This window comes from Homo sapiens, chromosome 6, assembly GCF_000001405.40.
Source record: "Homo sapiens chromosome 6, GRCh38.p14 Primary Assembly".
Lineage (NCBI taxonomy): Eukaryota > Metazoa > Chordata > Mammalia > Primates > Hominidae > Homo > Homo sapiens.
In genome coordinates, this window is record NC_000006.12 from 57,381,128 (window position 1) to 57,397,940 (window position 16,813).

General features: G+C 36.0%; 1 protein-coding gene and 1 non-coding gene across 8 annotated transcripts in view; both read left to right on the forward strand.

Annotated features, from left to right (window-relative positions):
* The window catches only part of PRIM2 (DNA primase subunit 2), a 425,311-nt gene that overhangs the window by 159,588 nt on the left and 248,910 nt on the right, over positions 1-16,813 (forward strand). For 6 of the 7 annotated variants that reach the window (XM_047418987.1, NM_000947.5, XM_047418988.1 and 3 more), the window contains exon 7: positions 904-1,041. In XM_047418987.1, the coding sequence (XP_047274943.1) occupies positions 904-1,041 (138 nt within the window). Of the gene's footprint in view, positions 1-903; positions 1,042-16,813 lie in introns of those variants that run through there. The other variant, XM_047418993.1, reaches the window with a different exon arrangement.
* MIR548U (microRNA 548u) lies at positions 9,005-9,085 on the forward strand. The gene has a single exon (NR_036097.1). It is a non-coding gene; the product is annotated as a microRNA 548u (primary transcript).

The following is a 16,813-nucleotide window of genomic DNA, read 5'->3' on the forward strand; positions in this document are numbered from 1 at the left end:
CTGTTTGACTTTCCGTGTGTGCCCATGAGGGCAGGGACTGTGTTGCAGTTGTAGAAATAGGTAAATTAATTGAAAGTTGTTAAAAAGCACATGATCTGTTTATAGTGTGAGATGTCGTTGGATATACAGAAAATTGTATGCATTTATATTTAATTCTTCCTTAAAACTTGAATGAATAGGCAATTTGGGAATCATTTTTCACCTAATTTTTTAACCTCGTTTTTTAAAAAAGAAAAATTCTATTGGAGAGTAAGAATGATTTTTACAGTTTACTAATATCATACTTCGCTCATCTCTTAGAATTTTAAGATTGTTCATAGGGTTTAAAAATCTAAGATTTTTAAAAATAAATTCTTGGGGCAAATACTTCTTTTAATAGCAAAACTGAATGCTTATTATTTCCATTTCTTAGTACTGAGATTAGCTTTTTCAGTATATTTCTCTGGAGTGAGAATGGAAACATACATGAAGAAATTGGAATTTACTTACAAGTAATTTTCAGCTCTGAATATGTTGTTTACAAATTAGGATTCTCTCTGATGCAGAATACAAAGTGGGATATGTGAGGTGAATGCAACATGTGTAGAAGTCTTGAGTTAAGAGTTTGAAATCCTGGGGATTATGTTTTGTAAATTCAGAGGTTAAGGAATAAAAGTAAGCATTCCAACTTGGCCTTTTAGTGTTACTATTTTTCAAAACATCAACTCTGAAACGAACATATTTTTGTACTGCCACTGTTTGCTAATGCTGTTGAGTTTTAAGGAGGATAAATTAATCATTTTGATATTCTTTTGGCTCTGCTAGGACTAATGAATTTCTTTGTTTATACTTTATACATATGAAGACTTAGGATTTCTTAATGACAGGTGCTGACTTATTTTGCCTGTTTTACTCTTAATTCAGATCCCTTTTGCTGATGCTCTGGATTTGTTTCGAGGAAGGAAAGTCTATTTGGAAGATGGCTTTGCTTACGTACCACTTAAGGACATTGTGGCAATCATCCTGAATGAATTTAGAGCCAAACTGTCCAAGGCTTTGGCAGTGAGTATTTTACTTGATTTCTGTATCTGACATGTTCACACTTTCAGTTATATACCCCTGGTAGTTTTATTCTGTGTTTCTCTAGGAAATAAGTTAATTCAGTTTTCATAATGATATTCAGATTACATATGATGTTGTACTGTTAATCCCAAAATTCCTAGGTTTTTATTTGTTACTATCCATAGTTGGTTTTTAAGTTTTTTTTCTTGATCCTACTAATACCAATGCTGAGTGATTAATTTTGTGAGTAACCTCTGTGGGTTTCTTCATGGTCATGTCTTTTTTCCTTAGAAATAGACTTCGTATATGGCTCTTAACAATTAGTGTGGCCTGTGGTAGATATAACTCCTAGATTTCTGTTCTGAATTAGTATTTGGTATCAGTAGAAGACAATATAGAAGAAAATCTTAAGTACTAACACTGTGATATGCTAGTGCTGCAATGAGTAGCTCCATACTGGGTGAATTTGGAGGTAGCTGTGTTGAACAAATGACATGATCAGTGATTTTTAAGTAGTTTGTTGGAAGTGTGACTCTTAAGTGGTGATATCTTAAAACTATACACATTTTTATATGTAAAACACATATTTTACAGTTGTTGTCTCTTAATCTGAGTCAGTTTTTAATACTTTTTTTGTACCTAATGCAGAAGAAGACTTCAAAGGTTTGTGACATGGCTGTTTTAAACTGTACTGATTATAGTGTAAGCATATGCCAAGCTTTCCTTCTCAGTTAAAAATTGTAGTATTTTCTGATATAAATAAATTTTTATTGACTCTCTGGGGTTACCTAAATATGTATAATTTAGCTATGTCAGCACTTGGGAAGACTAAAATACTAACTCTGTGTTTATTAAATGAAGGAATTTATGAGAACACCTAGCATAACAGGTATTTAGTAACTGTTAATATTCTTTCTCCATTCCTAATCCTGTTATTTCTTTATCCTCATGAAAGTTGATGCTTTTAAATTTTTTCTTTACTTGTCTGTCACTACCCTAGATTATATTCTAGTTACAGCTAAGAATAGTGTCTTTCACCACTGTGGAAGACACTGATACTTGTCTACTGTTTGGCCATTGCTCTTTTATTATTCTTAGTTTTATTCACCCATATTCTCTCTGTTGACATTTTAGACCACACTTCTTTGTGTGAAATAGACAAATATTTTCCAGCATATTGGATAGTTTTAGCTGTCATCTATTAAATGCTGGTGGTGGACCCCAGTCTCCATGACAACCAAAAATATCACCGTGCATTTCAGAAAACTTCTGGCATGTTAATGCTACTATTAATCTGATCATAGTCATTTCCTTCTTACCAAATTTTTAATTTATGCCTGTGACAATGTCATTGTGGCTAAAAAGTATGAGTTCTTTGGGGGCTCCTGAAAAAAGTTTTTCTTGCTAAAAAAAAAAAAAAAAAAAGGCATGTGGGATGAAGTAGTCTTTTTTTCCCCCCTCTGGATATTGTTGTAACTGAATGTGATGCCTGGAAGAGCTACAGCCATCTAGAGATGAGGCAGGTAACTTCGGGACAACCCAATTTGCTGCATAGACATGTAGAAAGATGGAAAGAATCTGAGTCCTTGTTGCTGTCGTTGAGTTGCTGAATTAACCTATTCTGGAACCACCAAACTTTTTATTACATGGGATAATGAAGTTTTAATTTTTAAAGGCACTAACTTAGGTACTCATATTTGAGTGGAATTCTCTTTCTCTAGTAGCAGAAAGCATCCTGGTACCTAGATCAGTGTCTGCGTTAGTTAGTATTTTCTTTTCTAGTTGCAGGTAACAGCCTATGCTACATTAACCAATAAATAGAATCTGTTAGCTCATAAAAGTGAGAAGTCTAGATTATAGTATGGACTTCAGACATAGCTTGCCCAATGTTTCACCCCTTTCTCTGAATATGTCTTTACCCTTATGTGTATGCCTTATCCTCAGTCTGGCTTTCTGATGGTTGCAAAAATAGTTACCATGGGATCAGGCTTTATTTCTATATAGCATACTATCTGAAAGAGTTTCTTTGTCCCTGGGCAGAAGTTTGAAATCAAGGTGTCGGCATGGCCATGCTTCCTCTGAAGGTGCTGGGGAAAGATCTATTCCACATCTGTCTTCTGGCTTCTGGTAGTTCTTTGACTTGTGGCAACATAACTCAAGTCTTCACATGGCATTCACCCTGCATGTCCCAAATTCTGCTTTTTCTAAGGATATCAGTCATATTGGGGTATCATTTTTCTAAGGATATCAGTCACCTCTCAACTCCAGTGTGACCTCATTGTAACTAAGTACATCTGCAACAATCCTATTTCTAAATAAGGTCACATTCTGAGGTACTGGGGGTTAGTACCTCAACATATGATTTTCTTGGGACAGAGTTTAACCCATATCACATGTCTATCACTAAAGCAGCTATTGTGGTTTAAGGGATAGCCTAGCCTAAGATCATGTGTCTGCCCCTTTAGATGGGGTATCATGGGAGCTGAGAGTCAGTGTGTTCCTGAAACCACAATATCCCAAACAAAAATGGATGATTGTTAGGAATGGGGAGAGGGGAGAATGAAGATGGGGAGGCAGACAACAATTGTCTACTACCTAGAAAAGACACTGAATATGAATTAAATGTACAAAGTTTTTCACTTTGTAATTTCTTTCAAGCCAAGCTGCCCAGTGCCCAAAAACCTAACTATGAAAATGCATCTGAAATTCTTTTACTTTTGGGTTTAAAGCTACTTCTGATTTTGTGTATTGCAAAGTTTAAATAAATTTTTAATAAGTTTTGACTGTTTTATAAATTTGCCTTGAAAGCAACTTTAAAAATGTAAAAAAAATTTTACATTTGCCACACATTTTTATTTTAGATAAGTCAAGATATTCTATGTATATTTGTGATTTATCATCCCAATATTCCAGTGTAGAAAGAAGGATATGTGGCAGATTTTTGCAAAATTTTACAATTTTTTTCTACTTTCTGGGTAGAAGTGGGGGATCTATACTGAGAGAAAAGACAGAACTTGGGTTCCTAAGTTTGTAATAAATTCATTTCAGCCAACTGCACCTAAGCTTTCTACCTTGTTGTTAAGAAATAAGAGTATTTATGAACTTTGAATTCCATTCTTCTTCACTTCTTTCTACTCATTCTTCCCCTTCCAAACATACTTTTTAAAAAATTAATACTTTAAAAAAATTTGAAATATCACAGACTTACAGAAAATTAAGTAGAAAATAGCAACTTTTTCTTTAAACCATTTGAGAATAAGTTCCCAGCCTGATGTCTTGGCACCCCCAATACTTGTTAGTGTTTATTTCCTTCAAACAGAACATTTTCCTGCATAACCACAATTCAACATCCAAATAAGAAAATTAATGTTTATAAGTTACTACCATCTAACCTCCAGACCCCATTCAAGTTTCACCAGTTTTCTCAATCACATTCCACAGGCAATTTTAATTCACATGTATTATTTAGTTGTCACGTCTCTTTAATCTCCTTCAGTCTGCAATAGATTCTTAGTTTCTCTTAGATTTTCATGGACTTTGTTACTTTTGAAGATTATCAGCAGTTATTTTGTATCTCTCAGTTTGGGTTTATCTGATGTTTCTGCCTAGATTCAAGTTAGACATTTCAAGTAGTACTGTAACAGAAGTTATGCTATGTTCTTTTCATTGCATTCTATCAGATTACATGATTTTGATTCAGCCCAATTCTGATTGACTTTATCAAAATTTATCCATTCTATTGTTGATAGGCATTTGGCTTTTGTTTTCTTTTTTTTTTTTTGGTTATCACAAATACTGCTGCTCTGAACATTGTAGCACATATTTTGGAAAACATATTTCTGTTGGTTATGTGTTTAGGAATGGAATTGTAGGGTATTGAGTATATCTGTGTACAGCTTTAATGGATTTAGATTTACTTTAAATGGATTTATTCTGGCTGAGTGGGGTGGCTCACACCTGTAACCCTCGTCCTTTGGGAGGAGGAGGTGGGAGGATTGCTTGAGCTCAGGAGTTTGAGACCAGCCTGGGCAACATAGTGAGAATCAGTCTCTACTAAAAACAACAACAACAACAACAGCAACAACAACAACAACAACAAAATAGCCAGTCGTGGTGGCATGTGCCCGTAGTCCCAGCTACTTGGGAGGCTGGGGTGGGGGGATCACTTGAGCCTGGGAGATCAAGGCTGCAATGAGCTATAATCATGCCATTGCACCCCAGCTTGGGCGACAGAGTGATACCCTGTCTCAAAAAAAAAAAAAAAAAAAAAAGAACGAAAGAAAGAAAGAAAGAAAAGGATTTGTCCTGATTACAGGTGGGTTGTGGAGAGTTCTGGCCTTGGTGTCTTGGATTTAATAGAAGACAGACAGTGACTTGCTTTCTCCTGGGTGGTTCAGGGCCGAGCCTGGTTGAGAGGAGGTCCAGAGAACACTTTTTCTTATGTAGGAGAGTGGTGGGAGTTGTTGCCTGGGAGCCTGTCCTGACAGCTGTGGAAAGGAGCAGGAGGGAAGCGAAGGAGTTCATTTAGGGCTGTGGCGAAGTAGAAATCTAAACCTATTGCTATGGTCTCTTTATTACTGTCCTTTCCATTGAGGAAGGTTTTGACCTTGGAGTATGTAATTGAAAACTTTCAGCTTTATAAATGGAAATATTCTTGTAGGATAAGAAAAAGTACCCTAAAGTAGATTTTTTGAAAGGTATTTTGATGAGTGGTAGAGGATGAAATAAATGGTTCTGGGGGAAGTTGTAAATTGATGAGAGTTTTACCCCAGGTGACAACTGAAAGCTTATTCTTAACCTGTGACCATATGACTTTTATAATATGACTATCTAGCTTTTGAACATGGTTTAGGACTGATAAAAAATTGACATTACTTTTTCCTTTGATAGGAACTCTGTGGCCCAGAACCTTCCCTTTAAGTCCCAAGATTGTGCTAAGTATATCTCCTTTGTGTTCCCACAGCATTCTGCACACGACCAAATTACGGTGAAATTATTCTCATTATGTGTTTTCCTCCTCAATTAAAATGTAAGTTCTTTGAGAGTGAGGAATTTCTCTTAATTCAAATTTTTATCTGGTATAGCATGTGGCACATAGGGTTAGTGGTCAGTAAAATTTTATTGAACTGACAGATACCAAATAATGATATAAACTTGCTTTTGTTCACAGTTTACTGTTTATACATACTGTTAATCCCACTATAAGTCACTGAGAGAGAAAGGGGTTATAATGTGCATTATATGGATGAGGAAAATGCAGCACAGAGAGGCCAAAGTAATTTGTCTAAGATTATGTTGGCTAATAATTGCTGGAGCCCTGACTTGATCTCAGGTTTTCTGATTGTAATTCTTAGGGTCTTTTGATGGTAACTGTGCCTTTGTCAGGAGTTGTATAACCAGGTGATTTAGGTCTTCAAACTCTGATAAAATATTCAAAGGTAAGTATATTAAGGTCCAGTCACAGAGCAGGCCCAAGGGGTGAATTTGGAGCTACGGTAGAATAGATTGATAACCAGTTAGGGAAAAGAATGAGGGAAAGATAGATTTTTTTTGCTTCATATGGCAATTTTAGAAGCTATAGCCAGTTCTTTTATTTAATGGTTTATTTTTAAATAACTTTTTATTTGTTCATCCATGCATAGGTTTGGGTACTAGAGATACTACTTAACAAATTAGATGAGATTTCTTCTCTTACAAAGCTTATATTCTAGTGGGAGACAGACAATTACTGAAGAAATAAACAATAACAATATTGTAAATGACATGAAGGAGCCAGCTGAACAAATATAGAGGAAACTGCATTCCAGGCAGGAAAAGTCACTAATGCAAAGGCCCCCAAAGGGAGGAATCTTGGCCTTTTTTTTTAGAATCAAAAAGGCCAGTGTAGCTAGAGCATAGTGAGCTACGGTAGAGTGCTACCATGTGAGGCTGCAATGGCTAGGTGTAGACTCTGTGAGACTTTGAGGTAGAGTCCCAGGGTAAAGAGTTTGATTTTTTTTTAGCCTAATGTAGTTGAAAGACATTGGATGATTTTGAATAAGTGAGTGATATGATCTGATTTATGTTTTAAATAGATGACTGTGGCTGCTGCTTGAAAGCCATTTTGGAGGATAAAAAAGGAATGGAAGCGGGAGGACTAGTCTGGAAGTTTTCACATTAATCTAGATAGTGGCTTGAAATGGATTGGTTGTGGTGATATGACTGACAGAAGTCAGTGGATTTCAGTTAGTTTTTAAAGTAATATTGACATGGTGGATTGGTTGTGAGAGAAAGAGAAGAATCAGCATAATGATGATGATGATGAGAGCTTAAGCATAGTGAAAATTTAATATTTGCCAAGTGCTATTCTAAATGCTTTATATGAATTAATGCATTTAGTCTTTATGGTAACCCTATAAGGCAGGTACCATTATCACTCTCTGAGGCTTGTAGTATCTTTATACAGGTAGTGAGGAGCAGAAGCAGGATTTGAATCCATACAGTCTGGCATCAAGGTCTATGTTCTTGACCATTATATTACACTGCCTAGAATTTTGGCTTGAATAATTTATTAGGGGGTGATGCCTTTGCCAAGATGTAGAAGACTCCGAGAAAAATATGTAAAATAAAATAAAGAGTTCTATTCTGACCACGTTAAGTAGAAGGTGCTTATTGGTTACACAAATGGAGATGGCAAGTTTGAAGTTGGATTTGAGTGTCTAAATTTTTGGGGAGGAGAATGTGCAGCCATGAGACTCCAGGAAGAGTGTGGGATGTCAGTGGAGAAGAGAGGGGGCCCACAGCTGAGCTTGGTTTCCATACACTTCCACTTGATTTCATTAAGCAGAGAACATACTTCATTTGTTGTTAGAAAATGGGGCAGATCCTTAAATTGGAGCTGGATTTCTTTAAGGCAAAAATCTCTTTCTCCTCACACAGTGTGACTATTTATTTTTATTTTTATTTTTTATTTTTAGACAGGGTCTCTACTCTGTCACCCAGGCTGGAGTGCAGTGGTGCAATTACAACTCACCATGGCCTTGACCTCCCAGGCTCAAGCAGTCCGCCTGCCTTAGCCTCCTAAGTAGCTGGAGCCACAGGCCTGTGCCAACAGTGCCTGGCTAAGTTTTTATTAATAAAAGTTTATGTAGAGTTGGGGATATCCCTATGTTGCCTGGGTTGGTCTAGAACTCCTGTGTTCAAGTGATCCTTCTACCTGAGCCTCCTAAAGTTCTGGAATTACAGGCATGAGTCACCATGCCTGGCCTTAATTTCACTTTCTATTTGTGAGACTCATCTTTAGAAGGTACTGGTAAAACGTTAAAGAAACCAGACTTCCAAAAAATGTATTTATACACATCTTATTTAGATACAGAAAAAAGGACTGAGAAGTTCCCAGGAAGATAATTGAAAGGCAGGTAAGTGGCTCTTACTTGGAGTCACAGAGAAAAGCAAGGATTTTCTTTTTTGAAAAGGATTTCCTTTTTCACATTTAGAAAGTACCAGTTGGGTCTGTGGCTCACTAATTATTTGTTCGTTTGGAAAAATATGCTTTGTAGGCACTTGATCAGGTAATTTTTATTTCTAAAGAGTTTGGAATCCTCTTAAATCTTGTATCCTCTTTTTAAAAGTAGTGTTCAATTTTCTTCCTTAAACTGTGATTAAATATAATTAATTTTCTTGAATGGTTACTTAGTTGGGAATCATATAGGAGTTTTCTTACTATTTGTGTACAACTAGCTGATTTCTTGGGTTCTGGTTAACATGTCTTTTTAAATATACTGATCATTTAATGCCATTTTAAAGTGGGTCACTGTGAACTTGTCAGTGCTGCAGCAAATCCATCAATATGCAAGTAGCATATCACGATATGCAAGCATAACATGCTTTCACTTCCACCATTACTGTCAGGCACCAGTTCATTTGGTCTCCCTTGCTGCTGATCTGTGGGAAACAAAACGTTGCAGTTGAAAGCCATGAGACTATTAGGATGGTGCAAAAGTAATGTGGTTTTTTTCTTTACTTTTAATGGCAAAGACTGCAATTACTTTTGCGCCAACCTAATAACAGAAAAAAAATCATTTTTCGGGGGAAAATAAGCATATGCTCTTTCTAGTTTGACAGGTTTGTTGACTGAGGATGCTCAGCTGAACTTGATTGTTGTTCTATTTGTGAGATACTGGTTTGTTAACCTTTTTCTAAGATGCAGTTTACAATCTGTTGTCTATTCAACACATATTTCTTTTTTTTTAACTTTTAGGTTTGGGGGTACATGCGAAGGTTTGTTACATAGGTAAACTCATGTCATGGGGGCTTGTTGTACAGATTATTTCATCACCCAGGTATTAAACTCAGTACCCAATAGTTACCTTTTCTGCTCCTCTCCTTCCTCCCAACCTCCACCCTCAGGTAGACCCCAGTGTCTGTTGTTCTTTTCTGTGTGTGCAAGAGTTCTCATCATTTAGCTCTCACTAAGTGAGAACATGTGGTATTAGGTTTTCTATTCTTGGGTTAGTTTGCTAGTTAGTAGCCTCAGGCTCCATCCATGTTCCCACAAAAGACATGATCTCATTCTTTTTTATGGCTACATAGTATTCCATAATGTATGTGTACCACACTTTCTTTATCTAGTCTGTCACTGAAGGACATTTAGGTTGATTCCATGTCTTTGCTATTGTAAATGGTGCTGCAATGAACATTGGTGTACATATGTCTTGATGGTAGAATGATTTATATTCCTCTGGGTATATACCCAGTAACGGGATTGCAAGGTTGAATGATAGTTCTGCTTTTAGCTCTTTGAGGAATCAGTATACTGCTTTCCACATTGGTTGAACTAATTTACACTCCCTCCAACAGTGTATAAGTGTTCCCTCCTCTTCGCAACTTCATCAGCATCTGTTATTTTTTGACTTCTTAGTAATAGCCATTCTGACTGGTATGAGATGGTATCTCATTGTGGTTTTGATTTGCATTTCTCTAATGATCAATTGATACTGAACTTTTGTTCATATGCTTCTTGGCCACATGTATGTCCTCTTTAGAGAAGTGTCTGTTCATGTCCTTTGCCCACTTTTTAATGGGGTTGTTTATCTCTTGTATATTTAAATTCCTTATAGATGTTGAATATTAGACCTTTGTCAGATGCATAGTTTGCAAGTATTTTCTTCCATTCTGTAGGTTGTCTGTGTACTCTGTTGATAATTTCTTTTGCTGTGCAGAAGCTGTTAAGTTTAGTTAGATCCCATTTGCCAATTTTTGCTTTTGGTGTCTTTGTCATGAAATTTTTGCCCATTCCTATGTCCAGATGGTATTGCCTAAGTTGTCTTCCAGGGTTTTCATTGCTTTGGATTTTACATTTAAGTCTTTAATCCATTTTGAGTTGATTTTTATATATGGTATAAGGAAAAGTCCAGCTTCAATCTTCTGCATATGGCTAGCCAGTTATCCAGCACCATTTATTGAATAGGGGTTCTTTTCCCCATTGCTTGTTTTTGTCAGCTTTGTTGAAGATCATATGGTTGTAGGTGTGTGGGCTTATTGCTGGGCTCTCTGTTCTGTTCCATTGGTCTATGTGCTTGTTTTTGTACCTGTACCATGCTGTTTTGGTTACTGTATCCTGTGCTGTAGTTTGAAATTGGTAGTGTGATGCCTCAAGCGTTGTTCTTTCTGCTTAGGATTGCCTTGGCTATTCGGACTCTTTTTTAGTTTCATATGAACTTTAAAATAGTTTTTATTTATTTATTTTTTAGTTCTGTGAAGAATGTCATTGATAGTTTGATAGGAATAGGACTGAATTATATAAATTGCTTTGGGCAGTATGACCATTTTAATGATATTGACTTTTCCTGTCCATGAGCATGGGATGTTTTTCCATTTATTTGTGTATCTCTGATTTCTTTGAGCAGTATTTTGTAATTCTTATTGTTGCGATCTTTCACCTCCCTGGTTAGCTGTATTCCTAGGTATTTTATTCTTTTTGTGGCAATTGTGAATGGGATTGCCTTGTTGATTTGGCTCTCAGCTTGGCTTTTGTTGGTGTATAGGAATGCTAGCGATTTCGTTCATTGATTTTGTATCCTGGAACTGCTGAAGGTCTTTATCAGCTGAAGGAGCTTTTGGACTGAGACTGTGGAATTTTCTAGATATAAAATTACATCATCTGCAAACAGGGATAGTTTGATTTCCTGTCTTCCTATTTGGATGCCTGCCCTTCATTTCTTTTTTTTGAATTAATAATAGCTGAATAGTGACTTTATTCTCCCTTATTCTTAGCATTTACATTATATTTATAGTTTATTAATCCATCTGATTCTAAAAAGTTTTGCAATAGCCAAAAATTTATCAAATATCAAAATTCTTTCCTAAATCCAAAGCTAGTGAAAAATTAGGTCTCAAATAAAAAGGAACATAGAACTGATAAAGACAGTCATAGTTTTCATGGAATAGAAGGGCCACTAATAGCCTAGAGAGGGAGAAGGAAAATATTCGTTTTTTTTTTGTGGATATCCAAATTTTTATTTATTTTTATTATTTTTAATTTTTCCATAAGTTATTGGGGTACGGGTGGTATTTGGTTACATGAGTAAGTTCTTTAGTGTTGATTTGTGAGATTTTTGGTGTACCCATCACCCGAGCAGTATACGCTACACCATTATTTGTAGTCTTATTTTTTGTCCATTGTATCATTCTTATGCCTTACATCCTCATAGCATAGCTCCCACATATCAGTGAGAACTTACGACGTTTGGTTTTCCATTCCTGAGTTACTTCACGTAGAATAGTAGTGTCTCATTCAGGTCACTGCAAATGCTGTTAATTATTCCTTTTTATGGTTGCATAGTATTCCTTATTATATATATATATACATAGACACACACACACCACAGTTTCTTTACCCACTCATAGATTGATGGGCATTTGGATTGGTTCCACGATTTTGCAATTGTCAGTTGTGCTGCTATAAACATGCATGTGCAAATACCTTTTTCGAATAATGACTTCTTTTCCTCTGGTAGATACCCAGTAGTGTTGCTGGATCAAGTGGCAGTTCTTGATTCTTTTAGTTCTTTAAGGAATCTCCACACTGTTTTCCATTGTGGCTGTACTAGTTTACACTCCCATCAGCAGTGTAGAAATGTTCCCTGTTCATCACATCCATGCCAACATCTCCTGTTTTTTGATTTTGATTATGGCCATTCTTGCAGGAGTAAGGTGGTATTGCAATGTAGTTTTAATTTGCATTTCCCTGATCATTAGTGATGTTGAGCATTTTTTCATATGTTTGCCGGCCATTTGTATATCTTCTTTTGAGAATTGTCTATTCATATCCTTAGCCCACTTTTTGATGGAATTGTTTGTTTGTTTTTTTCCTTACTGATTTGTTTGAGTTTGTTGTAGATTCTGGATACTAGTCCTTTGTCAGATGTATAGATTGTGAAGATTTTCTCCCACTCTGTGGGTTGTCTGTTTACTCTACTGGCTGTTCCTTTTGCCATGTGAAAGCTCTTTAGTTTAAGTAGGTCCCAGCTATTTATCTTTGTTGTTATTGCATTTGCTTTTCGGTTCTTGGTCATGAAATCCTTGCCTAAGCCAGTGTCTAAAAGGGTTTTCCCAATGTTATCTTCTAGAATTTTTATAGTTTCAGGTCTTAGGTTTAAGTCCTTAATCCATCATCAGTTGATTTTTGCATAAGGCGAGAGATGAGGGTCCAGTTTCATTCTCTTACATGTGGCTAGCCAATTATCCCTGCACCATTTGTTGAAAAGGGTGTCTTTTCCCCACTTTATGTTTTTGTTTGCTTTGTTGAAGATCAGCTGGCTGTAAGCATTTGGGTTTATTTCTGGATTCTCTATTCTGTTCCATTGGTCTGTGTGCCTGTTTTTATACCAGTACCATGCTGTTTGGGTGACTATGGCCTATAGTATAGTTTGAAATCAGGTAATGTGATGCCTCCAGATTTGTTCTTTTTGCTTAGCCTTGCTTTGGCTATGCGGGCTCTTTTTTGGTTCCATATGAATTTTAGAATTGTTTTTTTCTAATTCTGTGAAGAATGATGGTGGTATTTTGATGGGATTGCATTGAATTTGTAGATTGCTTTTGGCAGTATGGTCATTTTCACAATATTGATTTTTCTCCTGCATGAGCATGGGATGTGTTTCCATTTGTTTGTGTTATCTATGATTTCTTTCAACAGTGTTTTGCGGTTTTCCTTGTAGAGGTCTTTTGACTCCTTGGTTAGGTATATTCTTAAGTATTTTATTTTATTTTTTTGCAGGTATTGTAAAAGGGATTGAGTTCTTGATTTGAATCTCTGCTTGGTTGCTGTTGGTGTATAGCAGAGCTACTGATTTGTGTACATTAATCTTGTATCTGGAAACTTTGCTCAATTCTTTTATCAGTTCTAGGAGCTTTCTGGAGGAGTCCTTAGGGTTTCCAAGGTAAACGATCATAACGCCAGCAAACAGCGACAGTTTGACTTCCTCTTTACCTATTTGGATGCCCTTTCTTTCTCTTGTCTGATTGCTCCGGCTAGGACTTCCAGTACTATATTAAAGAGGAGTGGTGAGAGTGGGCATCCTTGTCTTGTTCCCGTTCTCAGAGGGAATGCTTTCAACTTTACCCCATTCAGTATTATGTTGGCTGTGGGTTTGTCATAGATGGCTTTTATAACATTAAGGTATGTCCCTTGTATGCTGATTTTGTGGAGAGTTTTAATCATAAAGAGATGCTGAATTTTGTGGAATGCCTTTTCTGCATCTATTGAGATGATCATGTGATTTTTTGTTTTTAATTCTGTGTATGTGGTGTATCACATTTATTGACTTGCATATGTTAAACCATCCCTGCATCTGTGGTGTGAAACCCACTTGATCATGGTGATTATCTTTTTGATATGTTGTTGTATTCGGTTAGCTAGTATTTTGTTAAGGATTTTAGCAGCTATGTTCATCAAGGATATCAGTCTGTAGTTTTCTTTTTTGGTTATGTTGTTTCCTGGTTTTGGTATTAGGGCGATGCTGGTTTCATATAATGAATTAGGGAGGGTTCCTTCTTTCTCTATCCCGTAGAATAGTTTTAAAAGGATTGGTACCAATTCTTCTTTGAATGTCTGTAGAATTCTGCTGTGAATCCATCTGGTCCTGGACTTTTTGTTGTTGGTAATTTTTAAATTACCATTTCAATCTTGCTCCTTGTTATTGGTCTGTTCAGGGTATCTAATTCTTCCTGATTTAAGCTAGGAGGTTTGTATTTTTCCAGGAATTTATCCATCTCTTCTAGGTTTTCTAGTTTATGTGCATAAAGGTGTTCATAGTAGCCTAGAATGATCTTTTGTATTTCAGTGGTGTCAGTTGTAGTATCTCCTGTTTTGTTTCTTAGTTATGTTATTTGGATTTTCTCCCTTCTTTTCTTGGTTAATCTTGCTAATGGTCTATTAATTGTATTTATCTTTTGAAAGGACCAGCTTTTTGTTTCATTTATCTTTTGTATTGTTTTTCTTGTTTCAGTTTCATTTAATTCTGCTCTGATCTTGGTTATTTCCTTTCTTCTGCTGGGTTTGGGTTTGGTTTGTTTTTGTTTCTCTAGTCCTTGAGGTGTGACCTTAGAATGTCAATTTGTGCTCTTACAGTCTTTTTGATGTAGGCATTTAGGGCTATGAACTTTCCTCTTAGCACTGCCTTTGCTGTATCCCAGAGGTTTTGATAGGTTGTGTCATTATTGTTATTCAGTTCAAATAATTTCTATCTTGATTTTGTTTTTGACCCAATGCTCATTCAGGAGCAGGTTATTTAATTTCTATGTATTTGCATGATTTTGAAGGTTCCTTTTGGAGTTGATTTCCAGTTATATTCCATTGTGGTCTGAGAAAGTGCTTGATATGATTTCAATTTTCTTAAATTTATTGAGGCTCGTTTCATGGCCTGTCATATAGTCTATCTTGGAGAAGGTTCTATGTGCTATTGAATAGAATGTGTATTCTGAGGTTGTTGGATGAAATGTTCTGTAAATATCTGTTAAGTCCAATTGTTCCAAGGTATAGTTTAAATCCATTGTTTCTTTGTTGACTTTCTGTCTTGATGACCTGTCTAGTGCTATCAGTGGGGTATTGAAGTCTCCCACTGTTTTGTCTTGCTATCTCATTTCTTATGTCTATTAGTAATTGTTTTATAAATTTGGGAGCTTGAGTATTAGGTGGATATATGTTTAGGATTGTGATATTTTCCTGTTGGACAAGGCCTTTTACCATTCTATAATGTCCCTGTTTCTGTCTTTTAACTGCTGTTGCTTTAAAGTTTGATTTGTTTGATACAAGAATAGCTACCCCTGCTCACTTTTGGTGTCCATTTGCATGAAATGCCTTATTCCACCCCTCACTTTAAGTTTATGTGAGTCCTTATGTGTTAGGTGAGTCTCTTGAAGGCAGCAGATAATTGGTTGGTGAATTCTTATCCATTCTGCAATTCTGTATCTTCTGAGTGGAGCATTTAGGTCATTTACATTCAATGTTAGTATTGAGATGTGAGGTACCGTTCCATTCATTGTGCTATTTGTTGCTTGTATATCTTGGTTTTTTGTTTTTGTTTTTTAAATTGTATTTTTGTTTTGTAGGTCTTGTGAGATTTATGCTTTAAAATGGTTCTGTTTTGATGTGTTTCCAGGATTTATTTCAAGATTTAGAGCTCCTTTTAGCAGTTCTTGTAGTGGTGGCTTGGTAATGGTGAATTCTCTCAGCATTTGTTTGTCTGAAAAAGATTATATCTTTCCTACATATATGATGCTTAGTTTTTCTGGATATAAAATTCTTGGCTGATAATGATTTTGTTTGAGGAGGTGGAAGACAGGGTCCCAATCCCTTCTAGCCTGTATGGTTTCTGTTGAGAAATCTGCTGTTAATCTGTTAGGTTTTCTTTTATAGGTTACCTGGTGCTTCTGTCTCACAGCTCTTAGGATTCTTTCCTTCATCCTAACTTTGGATAACCTGATGAAAATGTGCCTAGGTGAAGATCTTTTTGTGATGGATTTCCTGGGTATTCTTTGTGCTTCTTATATTTGGATGTCTAGGTCTCTAGCATTACCGGGAAAGTTTTCATTTATTATTTCCCCAAATATGTTTCCCAAGCTTTTAGAATTGTCTTCTTTCTCAGGAACACTGATTATTCTTAGGTTTGCTTGTTTAACATAATCCCAGACTTCTTGGAGGCTTTGTTCATATTTTCATATTCTTTTTGCTTTGTCTTTGTTGGATTGGGTTAATTTGAAGACCTTGTCTTCAAGCTCTGGTTTTCTTTCTTCTACTTGTTCAGTTCTATTTGCTGAGACTTTCCAGAGCATTTCACATTTCTAAAAGTGTGTCCAAAGTTTCCTGAATTTTTGATTTTTTTTCTTTAAGCTATCTATTTCCTTGAATATTTCCCCCTTCACTTCTTGTATCATTTTTTGGATTTCCTTGCATTGGGCTTCCCCTTTCTTGGCCCCTCCCTGATTAGCTTAATAACTAACCTGAATTCTTTTTCAGGTGAATCAGGGATTTCTTCTTGTTTTGGATCCATTGCTGGTGAACTAGTTTGCAAAAAAAATCAACTCCTGGGTTTGTTGGTCTTTTGAATGGTTTTTCATGTCTTGAATTCCTTCAATTCAGCTCTGATTTTGGTGATTTCTTGTCTTTTGCTTGCTTAGAGGCTGATTTGTTTAGGCTTCTCTAATTCTTTCAGTTGTGATATTAAGTTGCTAATTTGAGATCTTTCTAATTTTTTTTTTTTTTTTTTGAGACGGAGTCTTGCTCTGTTGCCAG